This window comes from Homo sapiens, chromosome 2 (genome assembly GCF_000001405.40).
Source record: "Homo sapiens chromosome 2, GRCh38.p14 Primary Assembly".
NCBI lineage: Eukaryota > Metazoa > Chordata > Mammalia > Primates > Hominidae > Homo > Homo sapiens.
In genome coordinates this window covers 118,850,991-118,869,855 of record NC_000002.12, presented here as the reverse complement: position 1 = coordinate 118,869,855, position 18,865 = coordinate 118,850,991, and the positions used below count along the sequence as shown (strand labels likewise).

General features: G+C 48.1%; 4 annotated features.

The window, feature by feature from the left end:
* Positions 10,146 to 10,905: an enhancer, noted in NCBI's record as "H3K4me1 hESC enhancer chr2:119616527-119617286 (GRCh37/hg19 assembly coordinates)". NCBI's record gives its function as "activates a minimal SCP1, AML or CMV promoter by ChIP-STARR-seq in naive H9 embryonic stem cells {active_cell/tissue: H9 hESC(naive)}" and the evidence as "EXISTENCE:reporter gene assay evidence [ECO:0000049][PMID:30033119]".
* Positions 10,906 to 11,667: an enhancer, noted in NCBI's record as "H3K27ac-H3K4me1 hESC enhancer chr2:119615765-119616526 (GRCh37/hg19 assembly coordinates)". NCBI's record gives its function as "activates a minimal SCP1, AML or CMV promoter by ChIP-STARR-seq in naive H9 embryonic stem cells {active_cell/tissue: H9 hESC(naive)}" and the evidence as "EXISTENCE:reporter gene assay evidence [ECO:0000049][PMID:30033119]".
* Positions 11,668 to 12,429: an enhancer, noted in NCBI's record as "H3K27ac-H3K4me1 hESC enhancer chr2:119615003-119615764 (GRCh37/hg19 assembly coordinates)". NCBI's record gives its function as "activates a minimal SCP1, AML or CMV promoter by ChIP-STARR-seq in primed H9 embryonic stem cells {active_cell/tissue: H9 hESC(primed)}" and the evidence as "EXISTENCE:reporter gene assay evidence [ECO:0000049][PMID:30033119]".
* Positions 15,926 to 16,461: an enhancer, noted in NCBI's record as "H3K4me1 hESC enhancer chr2:119610971-119611506 (GRCh37/hg19 assembly coordinates)". NCBI's record gives its function as "activates a minimal SCP1, AML or CMV promoter by ChIP-STARR-seq in primed H9 embryonic stem cells {active_cell/tissue: H9 hESC(primed)}" and the evidence as "EXISTENCE:reporter gene assay evidence [ECO:0000049][PMID:30033119]".

Below are 18,865 nucleotides of genomic sequence, written 5' to 3'. Positions count from 1 at the left end.
CTCACTAAATTGAAGCTGGGGGCTAGGCCAAGCACATTTCCTGCATTATATAATGTAATCCTCTCAGTGACATGGCAGATGGCACTCCAGACCAACATGGGAGGAGGCAACAGGGATGGGACTACTGGGCATCCACGTAGAAAAACATAACATCGAATCCCTTCCTCCTCCATATATTCTGTACTTTTCAGTAAATCTCAGGTACACGGAGGATTTACAGGTGAAAGGCAAGACTTCAAAACTGTTCAAAGAAAATATAGAAGAGTATCTTTCTGACTTTGAGTTTGAGATGATTTCTTAAACACAAGAGAGAAAAAGCACTAACTACAATAAGGAAACATTAATAAACCAGACGACATTAAAATTAACTCTGTTCATCAAAAGACACCAAAAGAAAAGTGAAAGGCAGGCCATAGACCAGGAGAAAATATACGCAACATCTGTAGCTGGTAGATTACTATCCAGAATACATAAAGAACTCCTGCCAATGCATTAGAAAAAAGGACAGCCCAGCAGAAAATGAGCAAAAGCTGCAAATAGGCATTTCTCAGAAGAAGGAAGTAAAAAATAACCCAGTGAGACACAATTGTAGTAAAAACGCTAAGTTCTGGGCAAGACATGGACTTCAATGTTAATCCATTTCTGCTGTTTCTGATGAATGTGTATTTGATGCAATACAACTTGATGCTTTCCACCACAATGTGATGGAAATTTGTGACCTAGCACTTTGACTTCATTTATATACATGAGAGCAGGGGTTTGCAAACTGAGGCCTGTGGACTTTGTTTTTGCTAAATAAAGTTTTATTGGAAGTCAGCCACACTTACTTGTTAAGATATGGCTGCTCTTGTAACACACAACAGCAGAGTTGAGTAGTCGCAACAGACACCTTAAGGCTTCAAAGCCTACAATATTTACTAGCTGATATTTTGCAAACAAAGTTTGCCAACCCTGATCTAGAGACAGTTTTAAGGTATCATTTTCTTTTTACCTATAACTTTCTAGAACCCATACCATTTTAACAGGCTTTATTTTTAGAACAGTTTTAAACTCATAGGGAAATTGAGAAGACAGTAGAGAATTCCCATAGACTCTCTCACCCAGTTTTCTCTGTCATTGACCTTAGCATGGTACCCTTGTTACATATTGCTACATGATTAACTAAAGTCCATAGTTCATTCACATTTTCTTAGCTTTTATCTAAAGTCTTCTGCTCCAAGATCCCATCCATTTACTTGACATATTTCCTTAAGCTTCTCTTGGCTGTGAGAGTTTCTCAAACTTCCCCTGTTTCTGATGACCCTGACAGTTGAGCAGTACTGGTCAGGTGTTTTGTAGAATGTCTCTCTGTGGAATCTATTTGATGTGTTTCTCATGATTAGACTGGGGTTATGGACTTTGGGGAGGAAGACCACTGAGGTAAAATGCCATTTTTATCATTATATGAAAGACATGTACTAACATGATTTATCACTGTTGCTACTGACCTTGATCACCCAGCTGAGGTAGTATGTGTCAGATTTTGACACTGTAAAGTGACTCTTTCCCCTATACTCCGTGGAGGGAACAAACGCATCATGCACAGCCCAGCCCACACTTAGTGGGTAGGGATGTATCCTCTTCCTTGAGGCTGAAATATATAACATATGTTATATATAATGTTACATATTATATATGTTATATATAATGTTACATATTATATATGTTATATATAATGTTACATATTATATATGTTATATGTTATATATAATATATGTTATATGTTATATATAATATATGTTATATGTTATATATTATATATGCTATATGTTATATATTATATATGTTATATATTATATTATATATAATATATGTTATATATTATATTATATATAATATATGTTATATATTATATTATATATAATATATGTTATATATTATATTATATATAATATATGTTATATATTATATTATATATAATATATGTTATATATTATATTATATATAATATATGTTATATATTATATTATATATAATATATGTTATATATTATATTATATATAATATATGTTATATGTTATATATTATATATAATATATATGTTATATATTATATATAATATAATATATGTTATATGTTATATATAATATAATATATGTTATATGTTATATATAATATAATATATGTTATATGTTATATATAATATAATATATGTTATATGTTATATATAATATAATATATGTTATATGTTATATATAATATATGTTATATGTTATATGTTATATATAATATATGTTATATGTTATATGTTATATATAATATATGTTATATGTTATATGTTATATAATATATGTTATGTTATATATTATTTATATAATATATGTTATATATTATTTATATAATATATGTTATATATTATATATTATTTATATAATATGTTATAATATATAACATATAATATATTTTATTTATAATATATAACATATAATATATTTTATATATAATATATGTTATAGTTTATACATGTTATATAATATATGTTATATTTTATACATGTTATATATAATATATGTTATATTTTATACATGTTATATATAATATATGTTATATTTTATATATGTTATATATAATATATGTTATATTTTATATATGTTATATATAATATGTTATATTTTATATATGTTATATATAATATATGTTATATATGTCATATATACTATATATAATGTTATATATATTATATATAATAATATATTATATATTATATATAATGTTATATATATATTTTATATATATGTTGTGTGTATGTATATATATATATATCAGAATAGTTTTACTGCCCTAAAAATTCCCTGGGCTTCACCTATTCACCACCACTTTCCAAGCCCCTGGCAACCACCAATCTTTTTACTGTGTTCTAGAGATATTTTTACACATGTATACCAAGAGACAAAAACAAGAATGTTCACAGAAGTAAAGAGCTAGGAACAACCCAAATGTCCACTGACAAGGGGATAGATAAATAAAATGAGATTTATTCCAGCAATGAACTCTTATACAGCTGATAACCTGACTCAAGCCCTGTTACATGCATGCAACAGTGACGAATCTTGGAGAAGTAATACTTAGTGAAAAATCTAGTCCCATCGACCATAGAATATCATTTTTTATGAAACTCAAATACAAGTTAAACTAAACAACATGTAATAAAACCAGTTTTTAAAAGGCAAAGAAGACCAGGCATGGTGGCTCACAACTGTAATCTCAGCACTTTGGGAGGCCAAGGTGGGTAGATCGCTTGAGCCCGGGAGTTCAAGACCAGTCTGCGCAACATGGTGAAACCCCGTCTCTACAAAAAAAAAAACAAAAAAAAAACACGAAAATTAGCTGGAAATGTTGGTGTGTGGCTGTAGTCCCAGCTACTCCAGAGGCTGAGGCAGGAGGATCACCTGAGCCCAGGAGGTCAAGGCTGCGGTGAGCCATGATCTTGCCACTACACTCCAGCCTGAGTGACAGAGTGAGACCCTGTCTCAAAAAAACAAAGGCAAAGATATAAAATTTAGGATAGTGATTAGTTTGGGCAGAGGCAAGGGAATGGGACAGGGAAGACACGTATATACAGAAGATCCACCCACCTTGGCCTCCCAAAGTGCTTTGATTACCGGTGTGAATCACCATGCCTGGCCTTCATTGCCTTTAAAAACAGCCTTTATTACATATTGTTTACTTTTACTTGTATTGGAGTTTCATAAACATAGAATCACTGTTGTTCTAGTTCTTGAAAGTAGTTCCTAAGTATTTATGGTTTGATTTTAAACACATTCATTGGTAGGTATACATATATATCCACATACATAGATATCTCTTGTATGTGTTAAATATATTAGGTATTTTTAATTGTGATAATGCCTAATGTATGGGATTGTTGTGAGAATTAAATGAGATAATATATGCAACAATTGACAACAATTGCATTTATGAGTATTATCATCTCCTAAGAAATCATGGTTGGTCTCCAGAGACACAGATCCAATATTTAAAAAAAAGGAAAGAAATCACATTTGGCCACTTCAGCTCCATGTTTGGGTCACCTCCTGAACTGCGAGTTAGACTCGAGACTGGGCCTTTCTTGTAGGTCACCACCAATGAGGCAGTATTTGAGTCTTCTTCATCAGTGTCTCAAATTCCACCATTAGATTTATGAACTTGGGAAGCCAGAAGTGACTTTAGAGGTCATCCGCTATAACCTTGAGGAGGAGAAGCCCAGAGATGTTGAATGGTTTTCCTAAAACTACTCAGTTCTACTCAAGGTTCTTCTAACCCTCAGTCCACAGCCATTTCCCCAGTGGTTTAGGGTGACAGGCCCAATATTATAGATGTGGAAGAACTGAAATGAGATGGAGAGAAGTGAGAGGAGAAATGGAGGTTGGAAAGACAGCCTTCTACAAGTTTAGGATTTCTGATGCACTGGCCCACTCAGCAAGAGGTGGGTGACATCAGGACTGCAGAACTCAGGACCTGCACACAGCCTGTGACCGGTGTAGTATCAAGAAGTGGCCATACGATGTCACCAGAAACCAGTATTTAGAAATTAGTCAGCAGGGGCTCCCAGCCTACTCTGGGCCTTTTGGTTCCTGTCAGCAGGGGCTCCCAGCCTACTCTCGGCCTTTTGGTTCCTGTCCAGTGGAAATGAAATTTTACTGAAATTCTGAGGTGCTTCTGAGCATGTGACTAACAAGAGAAGGAAAGTAATGAGCAAGTTCTCAAAATAGTTTCAGAAGAGACAGGTAGGCCTACCTGCTCAGAGGACACTCACTGCAAAATTTTCTTCTCAGCAAAAAAGAAAGGCTGCAGGACCTCTCTAGAGCAAAGAGCTCCTTTCCAAATGGGAATGAGATACTTTGTAATCTTTTTTTCTTCTTGCTAAGCCTTTGAAATCTGGTGTGCATTTTACACTGACAACACACCTCAATGCAGACCAGCCACATCTCAAGTGCTCAACAGCCCCAGATAGTGAGGAGCCACCATCCTCAGGGGAGCAGACACAAAGCCACATCACATGGAGTCAGCTCTGAGAAGCAGTCTCCATACAGTACAAGGATATGAGCGTCCAGGAGCATCTGTTCTGAGTGGAAGGATGATTTGTCAGGCAGCGCTGACACAGCCTGGACTCCCCCAGATTCTCTGCCACCTGCTAGATAATGCCTGAAATTCTACCATCTGCTCCTTTTAGGTCTCATATCCTTTAAACCCTAAATGGGACTTACCCTTCTCTCTCTTTTTTACTCACGGGGTAGATCTGAATTTATGGAGGGATGTAGGCTACGAGGTCTGTCCTTCATGGGAAAAGTCGCAGACCAAGAGGACAGAGGATCCGCTTCTTTGACCCATTGTAGACTTGCCTGATAGCCTCCCTGACTGTGCTTGGAGGGGTACTCAGCAGCCAAGGTCACCAGGCCTCCCAGCAAACTGGCTTCCCCGGGGCCAATCGTCCGACTCTCGGAGCCCTGGAGCGCTGATTCCTTCCGCCGCTCTGGACCCGGGTTAGCCTGCTCACACTGGGAGGGGGCCTCTCATCTACACAAGCTTGAGCGGTTTCTGCTGGGCAGAAATTGGGATTGTCTCCACTTTGCCCCTGCAGGCTTAGGAAGGATTTCAGTTTGGTGGTTTCTACAGGCCTTGGACCCATTTTACTCTATGGACTTCTGATATAAACTCGGCCCCTTGTGCTATTGTGGGACCTGATGACATGCTAATATCTGGGAGAAATGATGAACATTTCAGCTCCCAGACCCCACACCAGTGCCAAAGAGCCTGCAGTGTGGAAGAGGCTGAATGTAGGGGGAGAGAGATTGGCAGCCCATGGAGGGGTAATTTTGGCAGCCCTTGGAGGGAGAGAAAGGCTCTCTACATCAGAATAGAAGCCTCACTTCCTAAACATCCTGTCGAAGTAAGAGTGTGTTCTTAAGAGAATTAACCAAAATTATTACACAAATTCTTGGGTTCCCACAGTCCATGGAAAAAACAGCAGCCAGCATGGAACTACAGATACCTAATAAGGATTGGGAGTCATCTGAGCCCCCTGATGTTGAAAATCATCAAATAAAGCTGATTTATTTGATGCAGCTCAGGGCTGCACAGGACAGCTTAAGCCTGCCCGTTCTCCCCGTTAGAAGGCTCCTCTCGGGTGAGCACAGTGGCTCACACCTGTAATCCCAACACTTTGGGAGGCCGAGGTGGGCGGATCACCTGAGGTCAGGAGTTCAAGACCAGCCTGGCCAACTTGGTGAAACCCTGTCACTACTAAAAATACAAAAATTAGCCGAGCGTGTTGGTGTGCGCCTGCAATCCCAGCTACTCTGGAGGCTGAGGCAGGAGAATCACTTGAACCCGGAAGGCAGAGGCAAGTTGCAGTGAGCTGGGATTGCGCCACTGCACTCCAGCCTGGGTGACAGAGAGAGACTCCATCTCAAAAAGAAAAAAAAAAAAAAAAAGAAGAAGAAGGCTCCTCTCCTCCTGCTCCAGCCTCTCCTTGCTTCTCTCCCTGGTCCCTCTCCATCTCCCCAGCCCCACTCTCCTTACTCCCTTCCCACCAACCAAAGGGACCAAAATGTTTTTTAAAAAATGTCAATTATTTATGAAATTCCTAGGAAAGGCAATGCTTTCTAGTGAAACACAACTTCATGAAAGCAAAAAGGCAGGAGTTGTTGCTAAAATCTTATCTTCACTATCAGGTGTGTCTCACTGGGTGACTTACCCAATTTGGAAGCAAATGTTTCATGATGCAGCAAGAATCTTGGCTGGAGCTGACTAAAACAACAATAACAGCAGAACCAACTTGTTAGAAAGTTACCAAAGTGATGTGTGCATATGAATTCCCCACTTTTTCCTAAAAGTTCTCAGACATCAGCTCCCATTCATGTGTGTGGAGGGGACATGGTTGTTGACTGGCCCATTGTCCTGGGTTTATAACTGTATAATGTGGCATGGAAACCACACACCTGCAAGGTCGCCTGTGAAGTTGAGAAGGTTTCAGAGGGAGAAGAATCATATTTTTGAATTGCAGGATTTGCATGTAGATTTTTCTTTTTATCCAAAGAAGCAGCAGGCAGATGACCAGGCAGAAAGGCCACTGGCCCAGAAGTCAGTCCCTGCCTGCCACTGACTGACAGTGTGAGCTTGCATATGCCACCTATCTCCCTGTGCTAGGACTTTCCCAACCAGAAAGCAGATGAGAGGCTGGACACGGTGACAATCAGGCATCTCACTGTAAAGAAGAAAGGAAAAGCAAAGCCTGTATTTGGACAGGAGAGAGTGAAATGGCAAACTCCAAAATTCCTTTCAACTGTGCATGCCTATTTTGTATGTGTGTGTGTGTGTCTGTGTGTGTGTTGTCAGTGTCTGACCCTACAAACCTCTGATCAGAGTGCAACCATGAAGTCTCACTTGGCCTAAACCCCAAAAACCCAACACTGCCACTGTTGATAGCATTCTTATTTGAGTGCCTTTTTAAAAAATAATTACCTGGGAAACCACCTGTTTCTGTACAATATTAAAAATATTTTACTTCCAAAATTAAGGTGTATTTGAGTTATTGTTGCCTAAGACAAACAAAACAAAGCATTTCGTTTCTAACTTTTTTTTTTAAAGCTATGCTCTTCTCAAATGGGGAGGGCTGTGTCATCACGTAGAAGGAAAAGCTGAACTTTGAACCGAATTGGGAAAGACAACAAAAGGTAGCTGAAGGAGTTCGAGTTTGTTATTATTCTCTAAGTCATTAAAACACAAAATTAGGACAAGTTCAAGGATGAGGAGTGTCATTAAAATATCTAGGTGATTCTTTAAAACCCCTAAAAGGCCCAGAGGTTTCTGGGGTGGAAATTCCCAAAAGCCTCAATCATGAGTCACTGTAATTTGTTGCCCTCAAAGCCTCCACTAGTTTTGGCAGAACTCAGGGCCCCAAATCTGGAGTCCAGCAACAGTAGGGAAACTTTTTATGGGGAGAGGATGGTGGGAAGGGATGGGTGGTGGGGAGAAATTGCCTTATAAGGAAACTCTTAAGTCCTGGGGAAGGCCTGGTATTTCACCAAACTAAAAAATTGTTAAGGGAAGATCCTTGAACCCCTTACTCCTCCCATCAGGAATTCAGAGAAAGAAGAGAGTGAGGGATATGTTATTCCTCAACACAGACTTGTACTATATCCCTCTCTTTAAATGTGAAGGGGTAACCCACTTAAGGGAAACATAGCGATTTCCTAGCCAAGCTACGGAGCATAGAAGACACGGAACTCACAGAGGTCAGACAATGAGGGAACATGGCTGAAGCCACTGGACACACCACAGAGACAGCCAGAGCCTCTGAGGCAGCCAGACCCAATGTGAGGAGCAACCACACCCTGGAAGCCCTGGGGGCAGGGAGGCACAGACGAACCTGTCCAAGCCCTCTTCCGAGCTTGATTGCCTGCTCTGCCATCAATCCTCTCTGCTTCCCCTCCAGCCTCTGATGACAGGGAGCTTACTCTTTATAGTCTTTCTTCACTGCACTCAGGACGGATGCTCCAGATAGTTCACAGTCAGGGTGGCAAAGGAGTCCCCAAGACTCCTTTGGGTCCCCCAGTCGAACACTGCCTCTCAATGGAGTGGGCAAGCAGTCGGGGAGAAGGGGCAGAAACCCTGGGTGGGTCACAGGCTCAGGGCCTAAACAAATCCTGAAGTCGGTGGTACTGGTTCTTCAGCCCTTTGGCAGACCAGCAATGGGACAGTGACCTTCTGAGAGTGCAGATAATAATGGGCTGGAAGTATCTTCACCCTGCCCCCAGCCAAGTGTGCATAAGAAAGGGGTCTGGGATTCCACATACAGATCAGAGCTGAACAACATGAGAGCGGGATGGGCTTTGAAACCCCTGTCTTGGTCATGCAGCTAGGGCTAGGTAAACTGAACTGGAAGAGCTGCTACCACCTAACCAGATCTTTCTACTTAGCTATTTGCCACTTTCCCTAAGTGCTTTACACACATGATGTCATTTAATTCTCACCACCATCCTGTGCTGCAGGTATTATGACTCCCACTTTATAGGTGAAGGGCTGCAGTAACTTGCTTAAGGACTTCCAGCCAGGATTAAACCTGCTCTGCCTGCCGGGTGATGGGGACACGACCCAGCTCCTACCTTCCACATGGCCAGGCAGAGACGGGGCTCAGCGGCAGAACGGCAGAATGGGTGGGTGTTTCCAGGCTCCTCCTAGACAGGCAGTGCATATGGACTCAGTGCTGGGCTGTCTTGGAATGTGCTTCCTGGGACATAATTACCAACATCAGGATTATTATTAGCATTAGGCATTTACATGACACTTAATATTTTCAAAGCATTGTACTACCATTTAATTAGTTTTTCCTTGCAACATTCCTGTCGAGTCCACACTTGATAGCTGGGGAGACTGACGGGGAAGAGATAAATGCTAAAGGTTGCTGTCGAAGAGGGCATGGCAGCACAATCTCTTAGCTTCCATTCTTTCTGGTGACCCAGCTAATATTAATTATCTCCCCTACTCCTGCAAATCCTGCACCTTCAATCCCCAGTTCTCCACTATCAAGGTGACTATGACTTCTAGGAGTTGAGGTGCAGGGATCTCTTCTTTGATGTATTTTGGCTCAAGGTCCAAACACCTTCCCCCCTCCAAAAAAAAAAAAAAAAAAACAAGACAAAAAAAATATCAAGTTCCAGTTCACATTTATTCAGAACTAAGGGCACCCTCAGTCTCTTTCCAAACCTTTCCATTAAAGCTACCTATAAAATCTCAGGGTTGTAATTCCGAAACCTAAGGCATTTTCTGATAGGAAGGTTTTATCTAGCATTTGGCAAATCCTAATTGGGTCTGTTAAAATAAAGGAGTATCCCTTCAGAGCAGAGAAGGGAAACAAACTACAGTAAAATAGAGGAGAGGGGCAGGTCAGCAGACTCTGCTCCTTGCTGGCAACAGGGGCTTGAGAGCTGGGCTGTGAAGAGGTGGCTTATCCCCTATCCTGAGAGCCCTGGCAGAGCATGAGAAGCTGCCAGTCCTACCTAAGATGTTCTCGCTGCAAGGCCTACTTATTCTGCTCTTTAGGTTAAAGAAGAAACCCCAGGGAAGAAGAAGGGGAGGGGTCGCGAGGCAGCTAGGGTCCCGGAAGACTACGGGAGTAAGGAAAAGGAAGGAAACTGAAGTCTCAGGTGCTGCGCTGCAGGACCCACAGCCCGGGACAACCCGCTTCTCTCTGCACACCTGCACCCCCCTTACAGCCAGGTTCTGGCACCTCCTCTCTCTTCTCCAGGGAATTCCCTTCACCGGGGTGCGTTGGACCAACGGAAACCCCTCCAGTGCAGCACCAGCTGCAGGTTCGGGAATCAGAGGAGTTCCCTGCCGCCCTGCAGGTGAACTGGGGTCAAGGTGGAACCATGGGACTGGGGACTAGTGGAACTATGCCTCCTGGCGATGCTGGCCCTCAGTCACCTCCTTCTCTCTAGCAGGCTTCCCGGCCTTTCCTCCCTACCCCACCCCCACCCTCTTCCTTGCGAGCCAGGGGCCCAGTTCCAGGGCTTAGGGCAGGGTGCTCCATGCGAGGTGGTGACAGGAAGGCCAACAGGCTGCCGGAGTCCGGGAGTGGAGCGACCCGGAGAGGCGACTGCCTCAGCGCGGTTAGAAAACGCTGGGTCATCCTGGTTTTGTCACGGGCCTCGACTGCTCCCGGATCACCACCACTTGCACCCTGACAGTTGAGGTGCGGCTCCGGGGAAGGCTGGGCCTTGTCCTCAAGGTGGGACCCGAGCTCCCTCACGTACCAGTCGGAGTCATTGCCTGGTGACCATAGGCAAGTCTGAAAAAGTCTTGCCCTTGGTGGGTCACCCCGCCGCCGCGGAGACCGGCCATGAGCTTGGAGGCCCGGGACCCTGAGATGTCCACCCCAGGAGCTCAGGGCTGGGGGCCTGCCCAGGTCAGCATTTCTGGCCCCCTACCTCCGCCTCCGGGGGCAGCCAACCAGCATGCCGGAGTCGGATGCTCGACCCTTTCCGGGGTCACTGAGCTGGGAAGCCAGAAGAAAGCAAGCCGACAACAATACCAACAAGGGGAGATGCGGCCTCCGGCGCGGCTCTCTGGCCAGCTCCTCTGGGTGATGCAAACGAAGATCCCTGTTGGGAGCAGGGGTCGGAGCCAGAGGCCCCACCTAAAGAGGCGCTCGCTCTGCGCGGACCCTCGGAGAGGGCGCAGGCAGAGTATTCCCCTGACCCACCCTGGCGGGGAACGCGGCCCCACTGGAGCGCCTGGGAGCGCTGAGACCTCGCGTGTGTTGCAGGGGGAAGGGCAGGGAAGGTTATAACTCCTGTCCCCACCTGGAGCCCGCAGGGCGACTTGGAGCGTCTCCTGAGGGAACTGGCCCCCATCTGGCTTCCTACGAGCTGGGGAAATATTCGGTGCTTCGTTTCCCGCTTGGTATGGGCATGCGCTTGGGGCGGGTTTAGCCTCTCCGACCTCAGTTTCCTCCTTTGTAAAAGGGAGAGTATGCTGGTTCATACCTTGATAGGCTCCCGGCATGCCCATTAGGAATGCCCAAGCCAGCCCACCAGGTGAAGCCTTCAGAGCCAGGCAGCCCAGGGCTAGCACCTGATAGATCCTGAGCTGGCTACCATCGTTCCGTCGTCTTTTGAAGGTGGAGACCCCTAAAGAGAACCGCTTCCGCTCTCTGCCTCCTCCCCCGACCCTGCACTCTCTATCTCTCTCTCTGTATCTCTCACATCTCTGTCTCTCATTCTATCCCCTTGGTAAATTGGAAACATCTTAGTGAAAGGTGAAAACAAAGTTTAACGTAAATCCGCCTGTTGTTCAATTGAGTGCAACCACAGAAGCTGGTCTGCGCCGCGCGAGTCGGAGCCAGCGTTCTGCGCCCCAGAAGCTTCCCGTGTCGCGGCCAGTTCTCCGCCGCGCACTCGCCTCTGGCGTCTTTATCTTGCGTGCTCAAATCTGGGTTCCGTGGCGGGTCTGGGAGAGTCGAGTCCAGCGGCGGGATGGACGGAGAGTCTTGGCTGCCGCTCAGTCCGGCCGGGCATCTGTGTCCACGCGGCCACCCGGCTCAGCCCACAGCTCCCGCCCTGGGCTCTCCGCGGGCCCCGACGCACCGGCAGTGCTGGAGCAAGGCCTGGAGCTCCGCCGTCCTGGCTTAGTCAGATGGCAGCTGACCCCAGGGCCAGGACCCCGGCGGCCCTCACAAAGTCCAGAATTCCACGGGGTGGGTCTGAGGAGTTGGAAGCTGTCGGTGTCACAAGTGGGGAGTAGACAACCGGTGCCACCATGCCCCAGCCGGCCGCAAGTGGGACCTCGCTGCCCTAGCGGGAGCGGGCGCAAACTCTCGACCACACGGAGGGCCCGGGTGTCAGGGCGAGGCCCCAGCGGAACCCTCAGGTCTCGCTTGGTGTTCAGGAGGCTGCTCACGCGACAATGATGGGACCTCCAGTCCCTCGATTTTCCCGTCTCTTAATAGGAATTAAGAGACGGGACGCTCGCCCAGAATCCCGTGTGTGCGCGGCTTCTCAAGACCCTGAAATTCACCGCCTCCAGGCAGCACGCGGCCCCAGAACGATTCCGGGACTCCAAGAAGGACAGAGCAGAAACGTCCCATCTATCCCGAAAGCAGAGGGTCTCCAGTTCGATGTGGCAGGCTCGCTGCGGCCCCAAGGGCAGTTTCGCTTCTCAGGGAATGCTATGCGAGACCTCCACCCAGGTGCCTAGAAGGCAGCCGCTCTGGCCTTGCGCCGCCAGCCTGAAGCTAAGGACCAGGACAGCCGGCTATGTCTGGCGAGGACCGTTCCGGGGCTTCCCGAGGGGTGCGCCAAGCTTGGGGGCTGCCGTCCCCACGCTTGGAGCCCAGAGCTTGCTGGACTGTAGCCTCCCTTGAGCCGCACGAACTCGGAACTCCAAGCAGAGGTTATAAGCGATCTCCGGATCAAAGTACTGTCCCCTTTCCCTGGCTTTCGAGTTTTATTCATTTCATGGAAAGGTCAAGCGTGGCTTGAGGTCTGAGCTACCCTGCACTGGTCTCGACGCCTGCCGTCGATGCTCGTCGGACACTGCCTGGCAGGGAGATTTGGGTTAGGAGCCACGTCTCCACCCCCACCCCAGGGCTCAGGTGCGTCGTTGGCTCAGTCTTCGCTCTCCCTCTAGCCTCGGCCCTTCTTACGGGTCCTCTCTCTAACACTGACCGCTGCCCGGGTGCTGTCTTCTCATCTAAGCCTCCCGCATGTCTCTAAGCCCCTCCTTGTGTCCTCGCTGGACCCACGACATGGGTGCTCTCCAGCAGTGTCCACACTGCAAAGTGAATGAAGTTTTACTGGTTTCATTTTTTAAAAAGGTTTAAGTTAATGGGCACTTATCGGGATAATTTGGACCATCCTAACCCCATCCAAATGAAAACCTAGACAATTGAGAAAACAATAATGGCAGCAGTTATACATTAAATATATATGAGATTAGGATATAAATGGCACATAAAAGTCCAGGATTTATTCAAGGCTAGAAATAGAAGGCAAGGCACAGGTGTCTACAGACGCTGCTCAGATTCAGTATCAGTTTCAAGGTCAGAGTTGGGAGAGGACCAATCTCATCCAACGCCCTCAGTTTACGAATAAGAACACTGAGGCCCAGAGAGCAGCGGGGTTCCGCCCAGGGTCACACAGCGCGGGGGAGGTAGAGGGAGTAGGAACGTAGCCCCGACTACCAACGCGGCGCCCGTCCCTGTGTGGCTCGGGTATTTTCTGCTTTCGGAATCGCAGGGCAAACCCGCACCCCCCACCCCCCGGAGGGGCTTTTCCTCCAGCTTTAGCTGTCTTGAGGTGGGGAGATCCCGAGAAGGATCCCTTTGTGGGAATTCCGTTGTCTCTCCCGCCTCAGGGGTCAATTGCCAGGAAAGAGGCCGGACGTCCCCACCGCAAGCGCAGGGCTTCAGGCACACATCTCCCCGCAGCCCCGAATACCCCGAGGGCGCCACACAGACGCAGTTCTCACTGGCGCCGACAGGTGGCGCGTTCCCCACAGGGAAGCCGGCCTTCAGCCGCCCGCGAGCTCATCAGACTCGGCTCCCTGCGCCACCGCCGGCTTCGGGTCGCTCTATGGAAAGAAAGGGGACTGGAAGCGGTGCGGCGGGGGAGCTCGGGCTTGGTGCCGAATGGTCTAAAATAAAACCCGAGAAACCCAGATTCCAGCCCTTCGGCTTAGAGCGGCCTCACGGTTCCACTGTTTAAGGGGCCGCTGCGCGCCGGGTGCAGAGGACAAGGCTCCGCCGGCTCCGCGGAGAGCACACGGGACCCACTGGGGTCACCCCTAGGGGGCGCGATGTCCCCCCCGCAAACCCTCCCACGCACCGGCTCTTCCATGCGCGTCCCTGCAGCCTCCTCGGCTGCCAGCCCCAGCCCCCATCCTTCCGCCTATTTTTTTTTTCTTTTATAAATGGGGGTGGGATGGAGAATAAGGGAAAAAGTGAGCTTTTTCAATTGCGGCGATAATTGTCCGCGAGATGGGTTTCTTAATCTGCTCATCCATTATTGACTGCTCCTCTAATATTTGGCTTTGCCGCTTTGATCGCCAGAAGATCACATACTTGACTCCTTTGCATAACAATTTTGGGGCGGGAGTCATCGGCGCGGGAGGGGAGGGACGTGCCTGGAATGGCTTTGTGGCCGGTATTCCACCCCTACCCCATCCCTACCCCCAGTCCCCCCGCAGGAAGTGAGCCCAGCCTTCCCTTTACCGAGCCCCCTACCCCTAACTACCATTCACGCTTGGACAGTTGTAGCGGGGGCGAAGAGGATGCTGCTAACCCCCTGGTGGGTGGAGGAGAGGTGGGAATCTTAGGAGCCCTAAGTGGGATCCGACAAGGGGAGGGGTTGTGCTTCCCTCTCGCCCTCAGCCCCACTACATTCCCAGCCCCAAGAGATCACCTTCCCTCCTTCCTCCCACCTCCGACACCCACCGGGAAGGGGGTGAACCCTTCCTGGGGGTGAATGGAGTGGAGTTGGAAGCCTGGGGTAGGAGACCGTCATCCCCCGCGCTCTCATCTGGGACTCAGGCTGCAGAACAAAACTGGGACGCCCGCGGCTTCCCAGCGGGATTTGGCGAGCTCTGAGACCAGTGGCGGCCTCTGTGGGATCCCTACCTAGTCCCTTACTCTCTTCGGGTCTCAGTTGCCTCATTTGTGGAGCGGGCTTTTGGTCTCTGCGCTCCCTAAGGTCCCTTTGATCTTGACCTTGGCACGTGTGGCCCACCCTCCCCTCAATCAGGGCTCAGAGCTGCTGAGGTGGGTCTTGGTGGGAAACAAAAAACCAGTTGCTATTTTAATCCGGGTTTAAACAACTGTCTCCTCTTCCCTGGCATAGTTCAATGGCGGGGGTGGAGGGGGTGGTTTGGAGGGAGAGATAGGGTAAAAGGTGAGGTTTGGGGTCAGAGCCTAGGGTCGTTCCAACTTCACATATTTCACTTCCAAAACCTCGGTCACTCCCCAGCTCTCACACAAATTCACTCACTGACACGCACACATGGAGACTATTCACGTGGACACGCACACACACTTTCACACCGACACAGCAAAGCGCAACCACACGAGAATTAGAGAGACAAAACGAACGCAATTTTTGCGTGCACACTCGGGCACACACTTGGACTCACTCACGCACCCACCCAGAGCCTCTGAGTCACGAACAAACACGCACGCGCGGGGCTACACACTCGTTCCCCTCCCAGCTTTCTGCTGGAGCAGGGGAACAGGGAAGATGGCCCGAGAAGGCCTTGGCATTGCAGTGACCCCCTCCCGCCCCCCGCATCCGATTCAATACGAGGAAGGAGGTGGGCGGGGTGGGGGAGACAGACGGGTTCTCGCCCCTCTCCCCCGCTCCCAGGCTCTTGAGACTTTCCGTTCCCTTACCGCCCCACCTTCTGTACTAAACTTTTTCCTTCCACATCTTCCCGCCTGGGCCCTGCAGCGCCGACCTCTGCTGGAACCCGGAGCTTTTCTTGCACCTCCCCGGGAAGAGGGTCCCAAAGATGCACGCCCCTTGGGCAACAGGGAGGCGCGGCCTGGATCGGGCTCCGGGGCCGGCAGAGGCAGAAAACCTAGGCGCCGAGAGCCAGGTGCGCGAACTTTTGTCTCCTTTTCCAGGGTCAGTGGGAAAAGAGCCCCGGGACAACCACCCGCACCCCTACAGGAGTCAAAGGGAAGAGAAGGAAGACAGTTAATTCTGGGACAAGCAAAAAGAACGGTTTTGGAGTCACGGGGGCGTTCCTGCACAAAGGACTTGGATGTTGTGTTTTTTCTTCTTTTCTGGCGTTTTCCGTTCCCAGCTTTGAAGTCGGGTTCAGACCTCCTGGAGACCACGGACTGAGCGGAGGGGTGGGGGTAGCAGAACCCAGAAGCCGCGCTGGCCCCTCCTCAATCGCTCCCACACTCTCACAAGCCCAAGGCCAGTCTGTGTGGACACCGAACGCGCCAAGCCGGATCCAGGCGAGAGCGGCCACTCGGACAGGTGGGGACCAGGGGTGGGAGAGGGTCCCCTAGGCCTGAGAACACCGACCTCGGGGAATTTTTTGGGGAGTGGGAGGGAGCCATACAGGGAGAAAAGCAAAATAAAAAAATAGAAGAAAATTCAGGCGTAGACATTGAATTAACTCCGGATTTTTTCTTTTTTTCGGCGAAAGAGAAAGGGGTTAAACCCAAATTCGGGTCTGGGTTCTGGGGTTTGGGTAGGATTCAGTGTAAGCATAAAAAGCGGGATGTCAGATTAAAGTGAAGAAAAATAAATAGGGAATTGTATGTAGTCCTCTTGCTTCCCGGAGCAGCGAAGTCTAAAATTCTCAGCTCCAGAGGCCTGTCTGGCTGTGTGATACAGTCCCAGCGAGGTTTGAAATTCCGAGGGGGGCCAGTGAAGGCTCCTCTTCCCGTAATCCGAGCCAAGGGGCCCTGCGTCGGGCTCCCGGACATCCCCGCGCAGCCCGAAGGCCGCCTGCAAACCCGCGAGCGGCGACAGTTCGGGTGTTTGCACCCTGGCGCCCTCTGCGCCCGGCGCGGGCCTGTGGACAGCCGGCGGGGCTCAGAGAGGAAACCAGGGCCCCAGGAGCGCTTTCTGAATCCTGGCCACCGGGTGCAATGTACAGAAATCATTGATATCTTTCCACCGTTTCCCGCGGGGAGTCAAGAGGAGAAAGGTCTCAGTTTGTCTGAGCTTGAGAGAGAGAGAGGAGAGAGAGAGGCACTATTTCTAGAACAAAACGGTCCATGCTGTGAACTGCCTTAGATAAGAGGGAGAAAACTCTGGGGGAAGACCGGATGATGGGGACATAAATCCAAATACTGAAATCCACGAAGGTGACAACCTCCAACAGTGGGCTTTTTCTCGGGCTTTCTAGATACCTAGACATTTTTAGTCTTATTTCATATATACAGAAAAAAAGAAATCCTCCCTGTCCCTCACCCCCTTCAAGGAATGCTCTGAGTCCTCTACAAACAAAGCTACTGCCCCAATTTCAGGAGTCAACGGAGCATTTTATTTTGTCAGCAGAGCGTTTTATTTTCAATGGTTTGCCCCCCATGCACCCCCCGGCCACCGGTTTTTTTCCTTTGCTGCCTCCCCTAGTCCCACTCCACTTTGGACAGAATTGCTTAGGATCCCTAACCAATACCCAAACGAATCCCCAGCACCCACCCACCCCCACATTATTATGGGCTCCAGATGAAGACCGAAACCGCGAGCACTAATTGAATTAGTCTATTGAAAAAGACTGTCAGGTACAATGACGTGACTCGAGGCCCCACATTTCCCAAGGTCCATAGGCTTTGGGGACCTGCGATGTATAGTCTGACCTTGTAGCTCATAATAACGCGGCACTTGTAGCAGAAATCTCCTCGCATTCACTCCCAACAAAACCGCTGGTCATCCAGTCCCCGTAGGAAGGCTGCACGCTATTGTGTTGCGACAACTCATTCATGTCCCGCACCACGAGGCCCCACCGCCATCTGATCTACACTCGAAATGCGATTACCACCCTGTGCATGCAACATGCTCCTACTCCCAGCCCATGGCGCACACCCCTCGCCAGGCTGCAAGAATTTCTTTCGTAATTCTCCTTCTGGTCCTCATCCTCGAAAGAGAGGTGGAAACAAGCAGGACCCTGGCATTTGTCTTTGCTTACACAAAATCCAAAATTCTATGGACACACAGGCTGGTCTTCTTTTCTGAACAGCATACACCAAAACCCTCAGCAAATACATTTCTTCATGCCTGACTAGTGGGGCTGACTTGGGTGTACACATTAACATTCACATACATACAGGGGCCTCCTGCCACACACAACTACACACACACACACACACACACACACACACACACACAATACTTTTATAGACTAATTTTCTCTCTGGGTGGCTCTCACATACCAAGCAAATAAACACAAATATACACTCTGTTCCCCACAGCCACGGGCCACTCTTCAAGACCGCTGAGCGTTTTTCCCAAAATTAGAAAAGGAGAGAAAGAAAGGTAAAATTTCTCAGCCTTCACTCTGATAAACACATGCCAGTCTTCCGACTATATGATCCCCAAACTCCCCTAGCTAGCAGCTCCTCAAACAAGTATGCATCATTCTCCTCTGTTTGGCCAGGTGCCTTTTGCTCACTGGGAGCCCCTGCCTATCCTCAGAAAATGCAGGAAGTCCAAGGACTGGAGAAGGGAAGGACGGTTGGGGTCTCTCTCTGTCCTATTTACCCAACTCCCGATCACTGAAGGCCTCGTTGGGACCTCCTTCCTTCAAGTGAAAAAATGTAGCACCCCTCCCCCAACTTTGGCATTTGAGACAAAATAGAATCTTTATCTTT